The sequence below is a fragment of the Homo sapiens genome, chromosome 6 (genome assembly GCF_000001405.40).
Source record: "Homo sapiens chromosome 6, GRCh38.p14 Primary Assembly".
NCBI classification, from domain to species: Eukaryota; Metazoa; Chordata; class Mammalia; order Primates; family Hominidae; genus Homo; species Homo sapiens.
In genome coordinates this window covers 42,877,190-42,896,276 of record NC_000006.12, presented here as the reverse complement: position 1 = coordinate 42,896,276, position 19,087 = coordinate 42,877,190, and the positions used below count along the sequence as shown (strand labels likewise).

The 19,087-nt window shown below is 46.7% G+C and overlaps 2 protein-coding genes across 5 annotated transcripts, besides 7 other annotated features; one reads left to right on the top strand and one right to left on the bottom strand.

Annotated features, from left to right (window-relative positions):
• Positions 5,005-5,054: an enhancer, noted in NCBI's record as "active region_24576". NCBI's record gives its function as "activates an Ori minimal core promoter by ATAC-STARR-seq in GM12878 lymphoblastoid cells {active_cell/tissue: GM12878}" and the evidence as "EXISTENCE:reporter gene assay evidence [ECO:0000049][PMID:35858748]".
• Positions 5,115-5,964: an enhancer, noted in NCBI's record as "active region_24575". NCBI's record gives its function as "activates an Ori minimal core promoter by ATAC-STARR-seq in GM12878 lymphoblastoid cells {active_cell/tissue: GM12878}" and the evidence as "EXISTENCE:reporter gene assay evidence [ECO:0000049][PMID:35858748]".
• PEX39 (peroxisomal biogenesis factor 39) lies at positions 5,456-6,012 on the top strand. Its single transcript, NM_001008739.2, has one exon. It carries the CDS (start codon positions 5,489-5,491, stop codon positions 5,792-5,794), a length of 306 nt encoding a protein of 101 aa, NP_001008739.1. The 5' UTR covers positions 5,456-5,488; the 3' UTR covers positions 5,795-6,012.
• Positions 6,377-16,661, bottom strand: RPL7L1 (ribosomal protein L7 like 1). Of its 4 annotated transcripts, none has more exons than NR_134562.3 (7): positions 16,326-16,661; positions 15,195-15,416; positions 12,663-12,826; positions 11,527-11,664; positions 10,194-10,303; positions 9,807-10,021; positions 6,377-9,117 (listed from the first exon to the last, which is right to left on the bottom strand). NR_134562.3 is itself a non-coding variant. In NM_198486.5 (7 exons), exons 1-6 carry the CDS (start codon positions 16,364-16,366, stop codon positions 9,813-9,815), a joined length of 768 nt encoding a protein of 255 aa, NP_940888.3. In that variant the 5' UTR covers positions 16,367-16,661; the 3' UTR covers positions 6,377-9,117; positions 9,807-9,812. The 4 variants fall into 4 exon arrangements, 2 of the variants coding, with proteins under 2 accessions (NP_940888.3, NP_001353410.1); NM_198486.5 differs by having other exon boundaries at positions 15,311-15,416; NR_134563.3 differs by lacking the exon at positions 15,195-15,416.
• Positions 15,735-16,691: an enhancer, noted in NCBI's record as "NANOG-H3K27ac-H3K4me1 hESC enhancer chr6:42847324-42848280 (GRCh37/hg19 assembly coordinates)". NCBI's record gives its function as "activates a minimal SCP1, AML or CMV promoter by ChIP-STARR-seq in naive H9 embryonic stem cells {active_cell/tissue: H9 hESC(naive)}" and the evidence as "EXISTENCE:reporter gene assay evidence [ECO:0000049][PMID:30033119]".
• Positions 15,735-17,649: a biological region, named in NCBI's record as "NANOG-H3K27ac-H3K4me1 hESC enhancers GRCh37_chr6:42846366-42847323 and GRCh37_chr6:42847324-42848280".
• Positions 16,400-16,459: an enhancer, noted in NCBI's record as "active region_24574". NCBI's record gives its function as "activates an Ori minimal core promoter by ATAC-STARR-seq in GM12878 lymphoblastoid cells {active_cell/tissue: GM12878}" and the evidence as "EXISTENCE:reporter gene assay evidence [ECO:0000049][PMID:35858748]".
• Positions 16,480-16,949: an enhancer, noted in NCBI's record as "active region_24573". NCBI's record gives its function as "activates an Ori minimal core promoter by ATAC-STARR-seq in GM12878 lymphoblastoid cells {active_cell/tissue: GM12878}" and the evidence as "EXISTENCE:reporter gene assay evidence [ECO:0000049][PMID:35858748]".
• Positions 16,692-17,649: an enhancer, noted in NCBI's record as "NANOG-H3K27ac-H3K4me1 hESC enhancer chr6:42846366-42847323 (GRCh37/hg19 assembly coordinates)". NCBI's record gives its function as "activates a minimal SCP1, AML or CMV promoter by ChIP-STARR-seq in naive H9 embryonic stem cells {active_cell/tissue: H9 hESC(naive)}" and the evidence as "EXISTENCE:reporter gene assay evidence [ECO:0000049][PMID:30033119]".

Sequence of the window (19,087 nt, the reverse complement as noted above, 5' to 3'; positions counted from 1 at the left end):
TTCCACTGGGTATCATTATCCTCCTATTTGCCTAGGGAAGGCACCAGGATGTTTAATGCCTACAACCCAAAACTGGTTGGTAGAAGTACCTACCGTCAGTGCCACCAGTAAATTTACTTATCACATGGTAAGTGGAATGTCACTCGGGCCACAGATAAATAATTTAGAGGACGCTTCTTATCAAAGATCATTAAAATCTGGGCCTAAGGGGAAGCCTTGCCCCAAGGAAATTCCCAAAGAATCAAAAAGCCCAGAAGCCTTAGTTTGGGAAGAATGTGTGGCTAATACTGCGGTGGTATTACAAAACAATGAATTTGGAACTACTATAATATTATATAATAGTTATATATTATATTATATTATATACAATTATATTATATATAATTGTATGGGCCAGACTCACTCATGTTTACAGGCCCCATCCATCTGGCCCATTAATCCGGCCTATGATAGTGATTTAATTGAAAGGCTGGACCAGGTTTATAGAAGGCTAGAATCACCCTATCCCTGGAAATGGGGTGAAAAGGGAATTTCATCACCTCGACCAAAGTTAGTTAGTCCTGTTACTGGTCCTAAACATCCAAAATTATGGAAGCTTACTGTGGCCTCGCACTACATTAGAATTTGGTCTGGAAATCAAGCTACAGAAACAAGAAATCGTAAGCCATATTATACTATCAACCTAAATTCCAATCTGACAATTCCTTTACAAAGTTGTGTAAAACCCCCTTATATGCTAGTTATAGAAAACATAGTTATTAAACCAGATTCCCAAACTATAACCTGTGAAAACTGTAGATTGTTTACTTGCATTGATTTGACTTTTAATTGGCAGCGCCATATTCTGCTAGTGAGGGCAAGAGAAGGTGTGCGGATCCCTGTGTCCATGGACCGACAGTGGGAGGCTTCGCCATCTTCCATATTTTAACGGAAGTATTAAAAGGAATTCTAACTAGATCCAAAAGATTTTTACTTTGATTGCAGTGATTATGGGCCTTATTGCAGTCACAGCTACTGCTGCAGCTGCTGGAATTGCTTTACACTCCTCTGTTCAAACTGCAGAATATGTAAATGATTGGCGAAAGAATTCCTCAAAATTGTGGAATTCTCAGACCCAAATAAATCAAAAATTGGCAAACGAAATTAATGATCTTAGACAAACTGTCATTTGGCTGGGAAATAGGCTCATGAGCTTGGAATATCTTTTTCAGTTACAGTGTGACTGGAATATGTCAGATTTTTGTATTACACCCCAAGCCTATAATGAGTCTGAGCATCACTGGGACATGGTTAGATGCCATCTACAGGGAAGAGAAGATAATCTTACTTTAGATATTTCAAAATTAAAATAACAAAATTTTGAGGCATCGAAAGCCCATTTAAATTTGGGAACTGAGGCAATCGTGAAAGCTACTGATGGCCTCACAAATCTTAACACTGTCACTTGGTTAAAAACCATCAGAAGTTCCACTATTGTAAATTTCATATTAATCCTTGTATGCCTGTTCTGTCTGTTGTTAGTCCACAGGTGTATCCACCAGCTCCGAAGAGACAGCGACCAGCAAGAACGGGCCATAACGACGATGGCAGTTTTGTCAAAAAGGGGGATATGTAGGGAAAAGAGAGATCCGACTGTTACTGTGTCTACATAGAAAAGGAAGACATAAGAAACTCCATTTTGATCTGTACCCTGAACAATTGTTTTGCCTTGAGATGCTGTTAATATGTAACTTTAGCCCCAACCTTGTGCTCACGGAAATATGTGTTGTATGGAATCAAGGTTTAAGGGATCTAGGGCTGTGCAGGATGTGCCTTGTTAACAAAATGTTTACAGGCAGTATGCTTGGTAAAAGTCATCGCCATTCTCCATTCTCGATTAACCAGGGGCACAATGCACTGCAGAAAGCCACAGGGACCTCTGCCCAGGAAAGCCAGGTATTGTCCAAGGTTTCTCCCCACTGAGACAGCCTGAGGTATGGCCTCGTGGGACGGGAAAGACCTGACCATCCCCCAGCCCGACACCCGTGAAGGGTCTGTGCTGAGGAGGATTAGTAAAAGAGGAAGGCCTCTTGCGGTTGAGATAAGAGGAAGGCCTCTGTCTCCTGCATGCCCCTGAGAACGGAATGTCTCAGTATAATACCCGATTGTACATTCGTTCTATTCTGAGATAGGAGAAAACCGCCCTGTGGCTGGAGGCGAGATATGCTGGTGGCAATACTGCTGTGTTATTCTTTACTACACTGAGATGTTTGGGTGGAGAGAAGCATATATCTGGCCTATGTGCACATCCAGGCATAGTACCTTCCCTTGAACTTATTTGTGACACAGATTCCTTTGCTCACATGTTTTCTTGCTGACCTTCTCCCCGCTATCACCCTGTTCTCCTGCTGCATTCCCCTTGCTGAGACAGTGAAAATAATAATCAGTAAATGCTGAGGGAACTCAGAGACTGGGGCCAGTGCAGGTCCTCCGTACGCTGAGCGCTGGTCTCCTGGGCCCAGTGTTCTTTCTCTATACTTTGTCTCTGTGTCTTATTTCTTTTTTTAGTCCCTCGTCCCACCTGACGAGAAATACCCGCAGGTGTGGAGGGGCAGGCCACCCCTTCAAAATTCTTTATTATACAACATTCAATATGGTCAGTTTCCTCCAGACTGGCTTCTCAAGCTCTTACCAAGTGCCCCCTACCCCAATTTTTTTTTTTTTAACAGAGTCTCTGTTGCTCAGGCTAGAGTGCAGTGGAACAATCTTGGCTCACTGCAGCCTCAACCTCCTGAGCTCAAGTGATACTCCAGCCTCAGCCTTCCAAGTAGCTGGAACTACTGGTGTGTGCCACCACATCCAGCCAATTTTTGTTTTTGGAGGGGGTCTCACTATGTTGCCCAGGTTAGTCTTGAACTCCTGGGTTCAAGTGATCCTCCTGCCTTGACCACTCCCAAAGTGCTGGGATTATAGGCGTGAGCCACTGCACCGGGCCTACCCCAACTTTTTATTTTGACAAGTTTCAAACCCTCACGTGGATTCACTAATTCTTAGCAATTTTGCCACATTTGCTTTCTTTCTGTCATCATGACACTTCACCTCTACATACTTCAGAATGTATTTGCTATGAACAAGGTAATTCCCACACATAACCACAATTATCACACTTGATAAATTTAACATTGATATATCGTTGTCATCTAATATATGGATCATATTCAAATTTCCCCAAGGGTAAAATGTCCTTTAGAGCTGATCTCCCCTACACAATCTTGCATCTAATCCAGGATCACTCATTGAATTTATTTATTTATTTATATTTTATTTTATTTTTGGAGACAGAGTTTCACTCTGTCTCCCAGTCGGAAGTTGCTGGCAATCACAGCTCAGTGCAACCTCCACCTACCCGGGTTCAAGCGATTCTTCGACCACTGCCTCCAGAATAGCTGGGACTACAGGTGTCCACCACCATGTTCAGCAATTTTTTTTTTTTGTATTTTTTAGTAGAGATGGGGTTTTGCTATATTGCCCAGGCTGGTCTTGAATTCCTGAGTTCAAGCAATCCACCGACCTCAGCCTCCCAAAGTGCTGGGATTAAAGGCATGAGCCACTGTGTCTGGCCTGTATTTATTTTTTATGTCTCCTTTAATCTGGGGTAGTTCTTAGCTTTTTCTTAATGTTTTATAACAACGACATCTGTAAAGTGTCCAGACCAATCATTTTGCAGAATCTCTCTCACTTTGATCTCTATTTCCTCAAGACTAGGTGGTGAGTGAACATTTTTTGGGCATTTTGGGGAGGACTACTACAGAAATGTACTCCCCGTGTGTGTGTCCTTCCCAGTGCATCACATCAGAAGGCACACAAGGCCAGTTTGTCCTATTAAGCTTTTTTTTTTTTTTTTTTTTTGAGACTGAGTCTCACTCTGTTGCCCAGGCTGGAGTGCAGTGGTGTGATCTCATCTCACTGCAACCTCCCTGCCTCCTAGGTTCAAGCAATTCTTCTGCCTCAGCCTCCCAAGTAGGTGGGATTACAGGTGCGCACCACTATGCCTGGCTAATTTTTTTGTATTTTTAGTAGAGATGGGGTTTCGCCATGTTGGCCAGGCTGGTCTCAAACTCCTGATCTCAGGTGACCTGCCCACCTCAGCCTCCCAAAGTGCTGGGATTACAGGTGTGAGCCACCACGCCTGGCCATTAAGCTTTGATTCTTTGATTAAGGTGATGTTCACCAGATCAGTCTAGCTTTTGATACTTTTTTTTTTTTTTTTTGAGACAGAGTTTTGCTGTGTCACCGAGGGTAGAGTGCAGTGCTGCAATCTCAGCTCACTGCAACTTCTGCCTCCCAGGTTCAAGCGATTCTCCTGCCTCAGCCTCCTGAGTAGCTGGGATTACAGGTGCATGCCACCACACCCAGCTAATTTTTGTATTTTTAGTAGAGACGGGGGTTGCCCCATGTTGGTCAGGCTGGTCTCAAACTCCTGACCTTGAGATCCACCTGCCTCCACCTCCCAAAGTGCTGGGATTACAAGTGTGAGCCACCGTGCCCGGCCACTTTTGATAATTTAAAAACCTGACTTTCCGAGCAGTCAGAGCAGCTGTAGCACATCTGACCTGCTTTCACCTTCGATCTTCTCTGGGACCACCAAGAATTGAAGGATGGCAGGAAGTGTGAAGAAAGTGGTGAGGCTCTGGCTGGGTGCGGTGGCTCACACCTGTAATCCCCGCACTTTGGAAAGCTGAGGCGGGTGCATCACTTAAGGTCAGGAGTTCGAGACTAGCCTAGCCAACATGGTGAAACCCTGTTTCTACTAAAAATACAAAAATTAGCTGGGCTTGGTGGCATACACCAGCTACTAGGGAGGCTGAGGCACTAGGGACCCTGTGGATCGCTTGAACCAGGAGGCGGAGGTTGCAGTGCGCTGAGATCGCATCGCTGCACTCCGGCCTGGGCAACAGAGTGAGACTCCGTCTAAAACAACACAAAACAATAATAACAACTAAGAGAGTAGCGTGGCTTGGTGGCGGTGTCACTCCTGAGGCCTCTGGGAACAACTCTACAGTTATGCTTTGTCCCGTGCTGCGGAGCCTAGTATGGGGATTATCCCCCGCCATGCGTTGTATCTGAATCCTTGTACGCGCGCCCGGGGGTGTGCATGAAAATGGGCATGTGCGCGGTGCTTATGTATGTATGGGTCTTTTTGCCCGCAGCGGCGCGTCCGCAGGCTTGTTCTGTCCTGTGCTAGCCTTCAAGTTTTGGCACGTCCGTCCGTTTTTCTTCTTTGGCGCGTCCGTTGGGCACTCTGGGTTTGGCTAAATCGTGGACGCTTCTAAAGCGTTTCTGCAGGGAGCTGGTCAGAGTTGTCAAGTGCTCCCCCAGTTCTGGGCCGGCTTGGTACGGTCTACAGCCTCCCTTTCCTTTCCCCACCTCCCCCATGGTGGTTGCACCCATTCGGCCCGGAAGTGCTCGCTTCTCTGCATTACACGCCGGTCAGGATTCGCGACCCGACATGGAGCGTCCCCGCAGTCCCCAATGCTCGGCCCCGGCCTCTGCCTCAGCTTCGGTTACCCTGGCGCAGCTCCTGCAGCTGGTCCAGCAGGGCCAGGAACTCCCGGGCCTGGAGAAACGCCACATCGCGGCGATCCACGGCGAACCCACAGCGTCCCGGCTGCCGCGGAGGCCCAAGCCCTGGGAGGCCGCGGCTTTGGCTGAGTCCCTTCCCCCTCCGACCCTCAGGATAGGAACGGCCCCGGCGGAGCCTGGCTTGGTTGAGGCAGCGACTGCGCCTTCTTCATGGCATACAGTGGGCCCCTGAGGTTCCAGGTCCTTTGCGGCGGCGATCTGGAGGGCGTGGCTACAGGACCCGGGATGCCATTCAGTTACTCATCTTTTATGCTTTCGTCCTGACCTGTCTCAACTAGACTTGCTCCTGCAACCACCATGGGGGTTTTGCATTTACATTTGTGGACCATGTTACAGTTAAGAAAAATCCTGTTTCAGTCCTTATATGTAATAAAATGTTTTATGATGTAACTTGGCCCCAGAATGATTTTGAAGATACATTAAAGGAAAGCCCAAAGCATTTAAAAAAGCCAACCAAGAAAGACTAAAATCTTGGCTCTTGGAATCAGCTGGATCAGGCAAGGGGCTAGAGAATTAGAGCATTAGAAAGGCTCCCACAGCCACCCTGAAATCAGTCCTTTTATGTTAAGCAGGCCACCTGGCTCAGTGCCTACATACTCAACACTAGATTTTACTTTCTCTACAAAAGCTAGAATGTACCTGGTACGTGCTGACATGACCCTAACCCACAGACGATGTAACAGGTCTACCTTTTCTCAGAAAGGATTGTCTCACAACTTGTTCAACGAATTAGTTATGTCATGGTACATACATATAAGTGCGCAATTTTTGTAACATCTTTTATTTGTATACAATTATAAATTACAAACTTGTTTTATTAGGTTTTTTAAAATTTATTTTTCGTCAACTTAGTCCCTTTTATTTACCAGCAGTTTGCTCTGACAGAATAAATTACAAACTATTGTTTTGTTTAATCCCTTTAACCATCATGTCAGGCACACAGGTTGGAGAATATTAGCTCCCATTTTATGGACAGAGTGGAAACACTGTACCCATATTTAGTGTAAGACAGAGCTGGGATATAAGCCTTGGGCTTCCATAGTCACAACTGCTTTTTTGCATAACTTTGTAATACATCATTTTAAAGTAATCTGATTTCACAATGTTTTACAGTATAGGAGTAACATCTATAGCATCTCTTCTTGGCAGGTTACCTCTGGAGAGAACCAATCTAATTACCTCATACGCTGGCACTTTTTTTTTTTTTTTTTTTGAGACAGAGTTTTGCTTTTGTTGCCCAAGGTGGAGTGCAATGGTGTGATCTCGGCTCACTGCAACCTCTGCCTCCCTGGGTTCAAGCAATTCTCTTGCCTCAGCCTCCCAAGTAGCTGGGATTACAGGCATGCACCACCACATCCGGCTAATTTTGTATTTTCAGTAGGGACAGAATTTCTCCATGTTGGTCAGGCTGGTCTCGAACTCCTGACCTCAAGTGATCTGCCTGCCTCAGCCTCCTGAAGTGTTGAGATTACAGGTGTGAGCCACCGTGCCCAGCCTAAGCTGGCATGTTTTAAGGCAGTTACATCTCTAACTTGATTTACCAGCTATGCTTGAGGGTCCAAGGAGCCAAAATTGCAGCCAAACTGATCTTAAAGGACCAGGGAATAGAATGGTCAAGCATGTTTCCAAGTTTAACCTAGGCCTGGCACATCCTTGCCAATTGCTCAGATGGCAAGTGAGGGGCAACTAAGTGAAGAGAATAGCAGGAAGACCCACTTGGGGTGGACACTGATGAAAAACACAAGCAGTATCAGACTCACTGTTTTCAGGATTAAAATCCCCAGATGCCCTGTTATTGGTCTATGTCACTACCAGTAGGACAAAAGGCAATGCTTCTGAAGACTAGAATATGCAAGGAAAAAATTAAGGTGCCTGCCTGCCTGGGGCCTAACGAGCCAAACAGTGCTAATTTCATCCATGCCAAACAAAATTGTTCATTCCTTGCTGATTTGGGTTTTAAGGAACCATGCTGATCATCAGAGAAACCAGGCAATTCTATTCTGAAGCCCAGGGGAAGAAATGGTGGGGATTTCTGAGTTACAGATGGTGCAGGGGTTAACACTATCTGCCACTATGAAGGGAAAAATCTATCTTGGTAAACTTTGGTCTTCCATAGGACATGGAACCAGAGTAGCAAGATCAGGGCCTGCGTGACCGATCCTGATTGAGCAGGACTTCCTCACATAAGGTACACAAGAGCTGGGCGCAGTTGCTCATGCCTGTAATCCCAGCACTTTGGGAGGCCCAGGCTTGTGGATCACTTGAGGTCAGGAGTTTGAGACTAGCCTGGCCTACATGGTGAAACTCTGTCTCCATCTCTACTAAAAATACAAGAATTAGCTGGGTGTGGTGGTACATGCATGTAATCCCAGCTGATCAAGGGGCTGAGGCAGAATCACTTGAACCCAGGAGGTGGAGGCTGCAATGAGCTGAGATCATGCCACTGCGCTCCAGCCTGGGCAACAGGGTGAGACTGTCTCAAAGAGAAAAACAAAACCCATAAGATGCACAGGTATCTGAGAAGGGTCTAAACACCCTAGAACTGCAAGCAAAATTTTGAGTGTATACATGTTTTCCTGGCGAAGGGGTCCTCATTCTCAAATCCTGAGCTTTTAGGAAAAAGTACTAAGCCAGTTTCAGGTTACGATACAAAAGCCACCAGATACACTTAGAGCCAGTCAAGTTTGAGAATTCTCAAAGCCATCACTGAAAAGTTGGAACACATACTCACAGCAGAGACAAGTGAACATTTATTTTTATGCCTTTCTTCCTATGTGTATTTCAAGTCTTTTTCAAAACAAGGCCCCAGGACTCTCCAGATTCAATTATGTCCTTGGGCTTGGTCGACTGCTGCAGGAGTCTCAGGGAGCCTTCTACAAATGCTAGAGTGACTCATTTACCAACATTAAACCCTAGGATACATGCAACAAAGCAGGACTCCTTCCTCCATGGAATGTGCCGATTTCAGATGACACAGCACCCAATGCAGAAAACACTGGAATTTTTCCTTGGAACTCGACTGTGATGAGAGGTGCTTGACATGAACATATGCTACTGTCTTTTCTTTTTTTTTGAGACAGAGTTTCGCTTGTTGCCCAGGCTGGAGTGCAATGGCGTGATCTCAGCTCACTGCAACTTCCACCTCCCAGGTTCAAGCGATTCTCCTGCCTCAGCCTCCTGAGTAGCTGGGATTACAGGCACGTGCCACCATGCCCGGCTAATTTTTGTATTTTTAGTAGAGATGGCATTTCTCCATGTTGGTCAGGCTGGTCTCGAACTCCCAACCTCAGGTGATCTGCCCACCTCAGCCTCCCTAAGTGTTGGGATTACAGGCATGAGCCACCACGACCGGCCAGCTACTGTCTTTTCTTTGACCCTTTCCAGTTTCTGAAGATAAAGCAGGAAATAATCTTCTCTGAAGATACTTGATAAAAATTTCCAAAACAAAACACATGCTTCCACTTCACTGATAAAAAATTTACCGCAGTTTGGCACCTAAGAGTATGACAACAGCAATAAAAAGTAATTTCAAAGAGTTAAGATTTCTTCAGCAAAATAGATGATTCACATCTTCAAGTCCTTTTTGAAATCAGTTATTAATATTATTCTTTCCTCATTTCCATCTGAATGACTGCAGCAATAGTTTTTTTTTTTTTTTTTCCGAGATGGAGTCTCGCTCTGTCGCCCAGCTGGAGTGCACTGGTGCAATCTTGGCTCACTGCAATCTCTGCCTCCTGGGTTCAAGCGATTTTCCTGCCTTAGCCTCTCGAGTAGCTGGGACTACAGGCACGCGCCACCACACCCAGCTCATTTTTGTATTTTTAGTAGAGACAGGGTTTCACCATGTTGGCCAGGATGGTCTCAATCTCCTGACCTCATGGTCTGCCCGCCTTGGCCTCCCAAAGTGCTGGGATTACAGGCGTGAGCCACCGCGCCCGGCCAGCAATACAGTTTTTAGTTACTCGACATCTTTAAGCCTATAACTCTTAGGCTATGCATAGCCCCATGTCCTAATCAGGCATTCACTGATCCCAGCAGGTCTCCATCTATTTGTACCAGCCTCCTCTATTCCTCCCAATCTCAAGGTTACTCTTAAATACTAGTAAATGCAAAAAGAACTTGTAAAGTGGCAAGGCATGGCCTATCAAAAGTCAGCCCAAGGGCAGTTTTCAGCCCTGCCTCACCTGGGTCTAGTTCAGCTGACGGATGAGCTGATTGATGCGTTCACCCCGATAGCCAGGTGTGCCCATCTCCTTGAGGAAGCCCACTCTATTTTTGGTAGCATGACGGGCCACTGAGAGGTGGAAAGGGCACAAGAACCATGAGATCTCCTGGAAATGCTTCCCTGGGAAGGCAATTTCATGAATGAGGTCTTCCAAGCAAATGACGCCAAACTTCCCTAAGAAACACAAAAGCACAGATTCCTTTATTTAACATGTATCCAGCATATACTAAGCTGGCCACTCTGGCAGACTCTTGGGGCCCCAAGAAGAATACAACCTGAATCTCACATCAAAGCTTCAAAGACCCTGGCTTTCTGCCCCAGCTGATCCCTAAGCTGTAGCACTCACCCAGGTGCTCCTCAATCACTGTATTGTCTGTCAGAGGGATGGTCTTATTCTTGACCTTGGCTTGTCCACGTTTCAAAATGAGTTCTCGGACAGACTTCAGATTTGGAAATCTATGTAGGAAAATAAAGCACGGTTTTCACCAGCACCTGGCACACTACATACCAGTCCTGCAGCCTGGCTGAGAGGTTGGAGAGGTTCTCCCACACACTCACTTCTCCCAACGAGCAAGTGTTCTGCAATCACATTCCAGCTGAAATGCTTGGAAATACTCCTGATAAAGAACTGAAGTGACCCCACTTACATAATTAGAAATTTAAATTTATGGATGTAAATGTTCACCAGGGAAAATATTGCCAACAAAAACAAAACAGAAACCATGTCCTAGCTTACCTTAGGGGCTACGACTCTGGCCTTAGGTGACCCTCTACTCAAGATGGTGCAAGAGTTGGAAATAAAATCCAAGTTTTTGTTGGGTTTCAATGTTTGAGGAATACTACTCTTTTTTTTTTTTTGAGACGGAGTCTTGCTCAGTCTCCCAGGCTGGAGTGCAGTGGCACGATCTCGACTCACTGCAAGCTCCGCCTCCCAGGTTCATGCCATTCTCCTGCCTCAGCCTCCCAAGTAGCTGGGACTACAGGTGCCAGGCTAATTTTTTTTGTATTTTTAGTAGAGACGGGGTTTCACCATGTTAGCCAGGATGGTCTCGATCTCCCGACCTCGTGATCCACCGTGTCTGGCCTTTTTTTTTTTTTTTGAGACAGAGTGGATTGCAGTGGCACAATCTCAGCTCACTGCAACCTCTGCCTCATGGATTCAAGCGATTCTCCTGCCTCAGCCTCCCAAGTAGCTGGGAATACAGGCACACATCACCATGCCTGGCTAATTTTTTTTGTATTTTAGTAGAGACAGGGGTTTCACCATGTTGGCCAGGATGGTCTCAATCTCCTGACCCTGTGATCCACTCCTGACCGTGTGATCCACCCGCCTCGGCCTCCCAAAGTGTTGGGATTACAGGCATGAGCCAGTGTGTCCGGCCAGGAATACTACTCTTACACATGCACTGCCTTTAGCTCTGCTTTAAGACTTTCAAGAACCAAGCTTTCCTTGACCCAGCCTTAGCCTATGACTGAACCAGCCCTACTATGGTATTGTTCAGACCCCTCCCTACCCTGTGTCCCATGGTTATTACAGCTACCCACTGATTTCAGGTTGACTGTGGTCACAGCAAAATGTCCCTTCTACAGCAACATGAGCCCTGGAAAGCAATACCCGGTGCACCCTGACACACTCAAATAGAAATCTAATGTGAATTCACATGGAAAACCTTACTTACCCCCAGGTCACATAAGGTTCCACTATACGCAGCATTTTTAGATTCTGGGGGGTGACTTTTACAAAGACACCACTAAAAATTTTCTTTAGGCGAAGTCTTGCAATGGTTCTCTGCACCAGTAAACTCACGCCGTCAATCCTGAAATGAACAGCAACAGAAGTCAGACAGACTCCCTCCAGTTTATGTCAGTCCAGCAAGCACAACATGCGAGGTCACTACACTGGGTAATCTGGAATAAGACACAGAGACTATGCCTTAAAGAGCTCAGTTTAGTGGGAGGCGGTTATGAAAACAGATCCTTTTCATAATGTGGAGCAGTGCCTGGAATGCTATGGAAATTGAACTTGTGTGTGTTTCAGGGGTAGGCGGAGTGGTGGTATGTAGGTCTACACATGTCCAGCTAAGGAAGCTGGATGTGCTTCTATGGGCAGTAAAAGCTACTGAAGATTTTAAGCAGAAGAGACCAGACCAGATTTCTTTCTGACAATCACCAAGGGCAGTGTATGGGACAGATCACAGTATGACACTAGAGGCAAGGAAATCCAGGAGGAAGGTTAATACAATAGTTCAGGAAAAATATGAGCAGTGGTAGAGGGCTACAAAGGACAGAGCTCATAAACATGCAAAATCCACAGGTTTCTGGTTTGGGTGATTGGGTAGGGGAAACAGCAAGAAGTAGAGTTGTACATGGGGTGGGCAGGGGGTTGGGAAAGTTCCACTAAATGAGGAAAAATGTCTCCCCTTCACTGAATATGCTTCATCCACTCAGCCTTGTTTCAGTTCCTAGAATGATGCCTTGCTTTCCCTACCTCAGGACTTCAGCACGTATGCCTGAAAAATCTCCCAACACTGGTGAACGCCTTTCACATCTTTCAGGTCTCAGGTTGAAGTTCCTGCTTTAGAGAGGGTGTCCTCAACCCCTCTCCCTAGTGAGCACTTTACCCTCATAGCACTTATTTTCAAGCCTATCTGTCTAAGGTCTTCCAAATATTGCAGACTAAATTGTGCTCAACCCTGACATCCTAGCACAATTTGCCTGAGTGGCTTGGGGCATATTATCTCCCTAGAAAGGGGTCTAAAGCTTAAGCAACACTTTGCCCCAGCCTCATGCAATTAGAAAGACACCAGTTCCTTACCTTTCGATGCGTACAACAAAGGCCAAGGAATGTTTATCTGGCAATTCCAAGGCATGAGGTTTCACTTCTAGTCGTCTGAGACGCACCTTGTCACGTTTCTGCCGCCAGGAATCATGTAGGAATGATTCCAGTCGCTTAAACCTGAGCCCTTTTCCTTTCTTCTGCTACAGAGAAGACAGACCATCATCATCATCTTGTGCCTCCATACATTTTTACTTTTAGAACAGTAATTCATAAGTGACAACTGATATAGCTTATTTCCCCGTGTTCCACAATGCGAAGCAAAGCAACATTCTCTATTTTCATATAAAGGAAAAATGAGAAACCAAAGTAAAGGTGGAGTTGAGGAAACTTGGGAATTATTGGGAAAAATAACGAACAAAAAATTAGTTTACATATTAATCAGTGTTTACTAACAAGTTTCCTTAAACTCCACGCCAGCATTTGCCTGCAGGTGTTAAATATTTGCTAAATGAAGACATAAACCATATACACTTGGTGCTCTGCATCTGTGATTCAACCAACCCCAGATGGAAAATACTTTGGAGGAGCACATACAGTAGCTCACCCTGTAGTCCCAGCTACTTAGGAGGCTGAGGCGGGAGGTTCTCTTGAACCCAGGAATTCAAGGCTGCAATGAGCTATGATCCTGCCACTGCACTCTAGCCTGGGTAACACAAGACCTCACTCCTTGTTCTTTTTTTTTTCTGAGATGGGGTCTCGCTCTGTCGCCCAGGCTGGAGTGCAGTGATATGATCTCGGCTCACTGCAACCTCTGCCACCTGAGTTCAAGCCATTTTCCTGCCTCAGCCTCCCAAGTAGCTGGGATTACAGGCATGCGCCACCACACCCGGCTAATTTTTGTATTTTTAGTAGAGACAGGGTCACCTTGTTGGCCAGCTTGGTCTCAAACTCCTGACTTCAGGAGATCCACCTGCCTCAGCCTCCCAAAGTGCTGGGATAACAGGCATGAGCTACCACACCTGGCCAAAGACCCCACTTATTTTTTTTTTTTTTTTTTTGAGACAGGGTTTTGCTCTGTCACTCAGGCTGGAGTGCAGTGGCACAATCTCAGCTCACTGCAACCTCCGCCTCTCGGGTTCAAGCAATTCTCCTGCCTCAGCCCCCTGATTAGCTAGGATTACAGGCGCATGCCACAGTGCCCGTCTAATTTTTTGTATTTTTAGTAGAGATGGGGTTTCACCATGTTGGCCAGGCTGGTCTTGAACTCCTGACCTCAAGTAATCTGCCCGCCTCAGCCTCCCAAAGTGTTGGGATTACAGATGTGAGCCCAGCTGACCTCACTCTTAAAAAAAAAAAAAAAAAAAAATTCAGGGGAAAAAATGAAAAATAACCGTAAAAAGTAATACAAATTTTTAAAATACATTATGTACACTGTATTAGCTATCAGTAATCCAGGCCAGGCAGGGTGGCTCAGGCCTGTAATCCCAGCACTTTGGAAGGCCGGTGGGTGATCACTTGAGGCCGGGAGTTTGAGACCAGCATGGCCAACATGTCAAAACATCTCTACTAAAAATACAAAAATCAGCCGGTGGCCGGGTGGGGTGGCTGACATCAGTAATCGCAGCACTTTGGGAGGCCGAGGTGGGCAGATCACTTGAGTCCATGAGTTGGACACCAGCCTGGCCAACATGGTGAAACCCGGTCTCTACTAAAAATACAAAAATTAGCAGGGCATGGTGGCACATCCTTGTAATCCCAGCTACTTGGGAGGCTGAGGCAGGAGAATCGCTTGAACCCGGGAGGCGGCGGAGGTTGTGGTAAGCCAAGATCGCATCACTGCACTCCAGCCTGGGTGACAGAGTGAGTCTCTGTCTCAAAAAACAAAACAAAATTAAATTAAGTTAAAAAAAAAATTAGCCAGGTGTGGTGGCGCATGCTTGTAATCCTAGCTACTTGGTTGGCTGAGGCACGAGAATTGCTTGAGCCCAGTAGGCAGAGGTTGCAGTGAGTCGAGATTGTGCCACTGCACTCCACTCTAGGCAAGAGTGAGACTCTTGCCTCAAAATAAATAAATAAATAAATAAAGCTATTAAGCAATCCAGAGAGGATTTAAACTACATAGGCGGAAGGAGTATAGATTATATGCAAATACTACAACCAGTTATTTATTTATTTATTTATTTTTTGAGAGAGTGTCTCGCTCTGTCGCCCAGGCTGGAGTACAGTGGCACGAACTTGGCTCACTGCAACCTCCACCTCCCGAGTTCACGCCATTCTCCTGCCTCGGCCTCCCGAGTAGCTGGGACTACAGGAGCCTGCCACCATGCCCGGCTAATTTTTTATATTTTTAGTAGAGACGGGGTTTCACCGTGTTAGCCAGGATGGTCTCGATCTCCTGACCTCGTGATACGCCCGCCTCGGCCTCCCAAAGTGCAGGGATTACAGGCGTGAGCCACCGCGCCCGGCCTACTACAACCATTTTATATAAGGGACTTCAGCAGTCTGAGATTTAGGCATCTGTGGGAGTCCTGGAACCAACCCCTTAAGGACACTGAGAGACAACTATACCTGGTCTGTCAAACCGTTGGGGGGAGCTCGTCAATACCAAATGTAGTCCAACACATGCGGGATAAAACTCACCAAATAAAAATTCTAATTACTTTCTCTTGGTTCCCCACCATTACCTCCTTCTTTGCCAAAAGTGCCTGCTTTGCCTGGGTGGCTTTGAGGGCTTGATAAGCCTTCCTCTTTTTCAGGAGATTTTCTGGAACCAAAGGGATTTTTCTTTGCCTGATGCAGAAAATTGAGATCAGAGATAACATTTAGAAAAGAACACTTGGCCGGGCTCGGTGGCTCAAGCCTGTAATCCCAGCACTCTGGGAGGCCGAGGTGGGTGGATTACCTGAGGTCAGGAGTTCGAGACCAGCCTGACCAACATGGTGAAACCCCCGTTTCTACTAAAAATAAAAAATCAGCTGGGCGTGGTGGCGCACGCCTGTAATCCCAGCTACTCGGGAGACTGAGGCAGGAGAATCGCTTGAACCCGGGAGGCGGAGGTTGCACCGAGCCGAGATCCCGACACTGCGCTCCAGCCTGGGGGACAGAGCAAGACTCCGTCTCAAAACAAAAACAACAACAAAAAAGAAAACGAACATTCAATGGATTTCCAAACCAATTCAATATCCTGGGCTTTAGGGAACATTACTGTTTTCAAGTATCTGAAGAAAGATTCCCCTGAAACCTGCGGTTTCTGACTCCAGGCCTCATAAATCCATCCCTAATAGTCACTCATCCCCAAAGCCTCGGAAAATAATGAATCCTTTAGCCTCTGGGTTCGTATAAGTTAACAGGGTTTTCACGGCCACAGTTCTTCATAGGCACTAGCAGCGACGAATCTATGGGGTTGGGGCGGGGGCAGGCCTATCTGCAGAGTTAACACTTGTCGGGCTGGGTGAATTCAACTGTGGCACTCCAGCCCGCTGCCTGAAGTCAATCCTCGCCTCTCCAGATAACCCGAACTTGACCGCGGTCCCCTCCCTCCTCCGCCACAGCGCTACTCCTCCTCACCCCCACCCTTTGTAAACTGTGGCCTTTTCTATTCCTAGAGCCCACAGGAATCCGCCACCAAGGCATAAACACCGTGGATGGCACCGGATACTCAAGACCCCACTCCAGATATTCAAAGCCCCAAACACTCACTCTTGCTCCGCCATCTTTCTAGTGGTGCAGCTACTGATCATGCGCAACCCCACCACATGGGGAAGACAGCACACGCTCTGTTTACTTGACCATAGAGACGTCTGTTCTAGCTCACGCTGGAGGACCAGTCAGCGTTCACTTAGCCGCAGTGAGCCCTTGAGGTCCCGCTAACCCCGATTCCTGCCAAAAGTTGCACCGCTTCTTAGGGTTTTTAGAGCCTGTGTTATTTTCAAAACCCAGCCCTTTTCTTGTAAGTTACAGTTTCATCACAAGCGGCCTGGCTGTGGACAGCAAAGTGCTTCCCACAATGCACCTATGGCGTCCGCTCCTAGCTACGGCGCCGCACTTCCGGCGCGGCTGTGCTGCGTCTCTGGGGAGGAAGACAGGCAAACTCCGCGAAACATTTTCGCTCTGTGGAAAAACTTGGAGGCTATGGCTTTGGCTCTCACGTGTAGGTGGAAGTGTTTGTTGAGGACTTAGAGTGGTAAAGCAGGTAGCTGCAATTCCGTCTGCTTGGCCCCGTCGATGCGTCCTTGAACACGTTATTTAACCCCTCTATACTGCGGCTTCATTACCCATAAAATGGGTGTACAGTAATAATAGGTCTACCTAATGGCGTTACGAGGATTACAGGAGATTAGATAAAGCGTTTAGCAGTGTCTGTCAGCACTATGTTTGTTACTATTACTGCTGGACCGAAAACTACAACATGCTTCCTTCCCGTCTAAAACCGTTACACAGGCCGGGCGCGGTGGCTCACGCCTGTAATCCCAGCACTTTGGGAGGGAGGCCGAGACGGGAGGATCACCTGAGGTCAGGAGTTCGAGATCAGCCTGGCCAACACGGCGAAACCCCGTCTTGGGCGGAGGTTACAGTGAGCCGAGATCGCGCCACTGCCCACCAGCCTGGGCGACAGAGCAAGACTCCGTCTCAAAAAAACAAAAAGAAAAGAAAAGAAAAAAAAAGAATAAAAATAAAACCCTTATGCAGCTCTCATCGCCCGGAATTTGCGTTCTTCCCTCCCAGTCTATATAGAATCCTGAAAAACAGTAGGTCGGGCCGGTGGCTTTCACCTGTAATCCCAGCACTTTGGGAGGCCAAGGCAGGTGGATCACTTGAGGTCAGGAGTTGGAGACCAGCATGGCTAAGATGGTGAAACCCCGTCTCTACTAAAAATACAAAAAATTAGCTGGGCGTGGTGGCTCGCGCCTGAAGTCCCAGAAGGCGGAGGCTGCGTGAGCCGAGTTTGTGCCACTTGCACTCCAGCCTGGGCGACAGAGCGAGACAGTCTCAAAAAAAACAAGAAATAAATTTTTTTTAAAATTAAAAATCCTGAAAAACAACACAAGTCTTATCATCTCTGGAAACCTCCAGAGCAGCGCTTCTCAAGCATTAATAGTGAATAGGAGTCACCTGAAGATTTTACTAAAATACAGATTTTTATTCAGGAGGCCGGGTGGGGAGCTGATATTCTGCTTTTTTTTTTTTTTTTTTTTTGAGATGGCGTCTCGCTCTGTCGCCCAGGCTGGAGTGCAGTGGCGCGATCTTGGCTCACTGCAAGCTCCGCCTCCCGGGTTCACGCCATTCTCCTGCCTCAGCCTCCCGAGTAGCTGGGACTACAGGCGCCCGCCACCACGCCTGGCTAATTTTTTGAATTTTTAGTAGAGATTTCACCTTGTTAGCCAGGATGGTCTCGATCTCCTGACCTCGTGATCCGCCCGCCTCGGCCTCCCAAAGTGCTGGGATTACAGGCGTGAGCCACCGCACCTGGCCAATATTCTGCATTTTTAACAGGCTTCAGAGTGACGCTGGTGCTACTGGTCTATGGGCTGACTAGTAAGACTCTAGAGTAGTGTCTGATTTCCCTCAGGACATTATTATATTTTTAATATTTCTTCCACATGATACTAGGGGGGGCAGGAACCATGACTGCTTACTCATCACTGATCCTAAGGATCTAGCACCAATTTCTCGATTTTGGCACTATTGATACTGATACTGGTGGCAGCTAAAGGCCTCGTGTTGCCATGTAACTAGTCCAACCGGAAAGAGTGCCATGGGCACAGGTCACTTTCTGATGAGTAAGTGTCAGGACAACCCAGCATTCAAGGTCACACACTGAAAGAGGGAGGCTCATTCTCTTTCAGCACCTCACCATGTGTCTTTGTAAAGAGGCTAAACACAAGGGTCACCAAAGTGTAAGACATTCACTAAATAGTAAACAAAAAAGCAAAAAGTTAAATGTTTTGTGATTTTTCCTGTCTATGGATAAAAGGTAGAGTCTGTGGTACCAATAATATTAAAAGGAGGAGGAATTTTAGGGTTAACAATACTTCAGCCAGGCGGCGATGGCTCACGCCTGTAATCCCAGCACTTTGGGAGGCCGAGGCAGGCAGATCACTTGAGCTCAGGAGTTCAAGACCATCCTCAGCAACATGGCAAAACCCTGTCTCTACCAAAAATACAAAAATTAGCCGGGCATGGTGGCACATGTCTGTAGTCAGCTACTTGGGAGGCTGAGGCACGAGAATTGCTTGAACCTGGGAGGCGGAGGTTGCAGTGAGCCGAGATTATGCCACTGCACTCCAGCCTGGGCAACAGAGCAAGAATCTGTGTCAAAACAACCCCCAAAAAACCAGTACTCCAAGACTGAATGGGATTGAGGCCAGGATTCAGGAATGGCTTTCTACTGCCAGCAGATGGTGCTAGGAGAATACTTATTCTCAGTGCCAATCCCCTTACTCCACCAGACTGACAAAGGG

Coding starts and splice junctions, on each gene's coding strand:
- PEX39 (NM_001008739.2), top strand. CDS start 5,489: ATGGAGCGTCCCCGCAGTCCCCAATGCTCGGCCCCGGCCTCTGCCTCA.
- RPL7L1 (NM_001366481.3), bottom strand. CDS start 16,366: ATGATCAGTAGCTGCACCACTAGAAAGATGGCGGAGCAAGA. Junction 15,417..16,325: donor AGAAAGATGGCGGAGCAAGA/GTGAGTGTTTGG, acceptor TTTCTGCATCAG/GCAAAGAAAAATCCCTTTGG. Junction 12,827..15,310: donor CACTTTTGGCAAAGAAGGAG/GTAATGGTGGGG, acceptor TCTTCTCTGTAG/CAGAAGAAAGGAAAAGGGCT.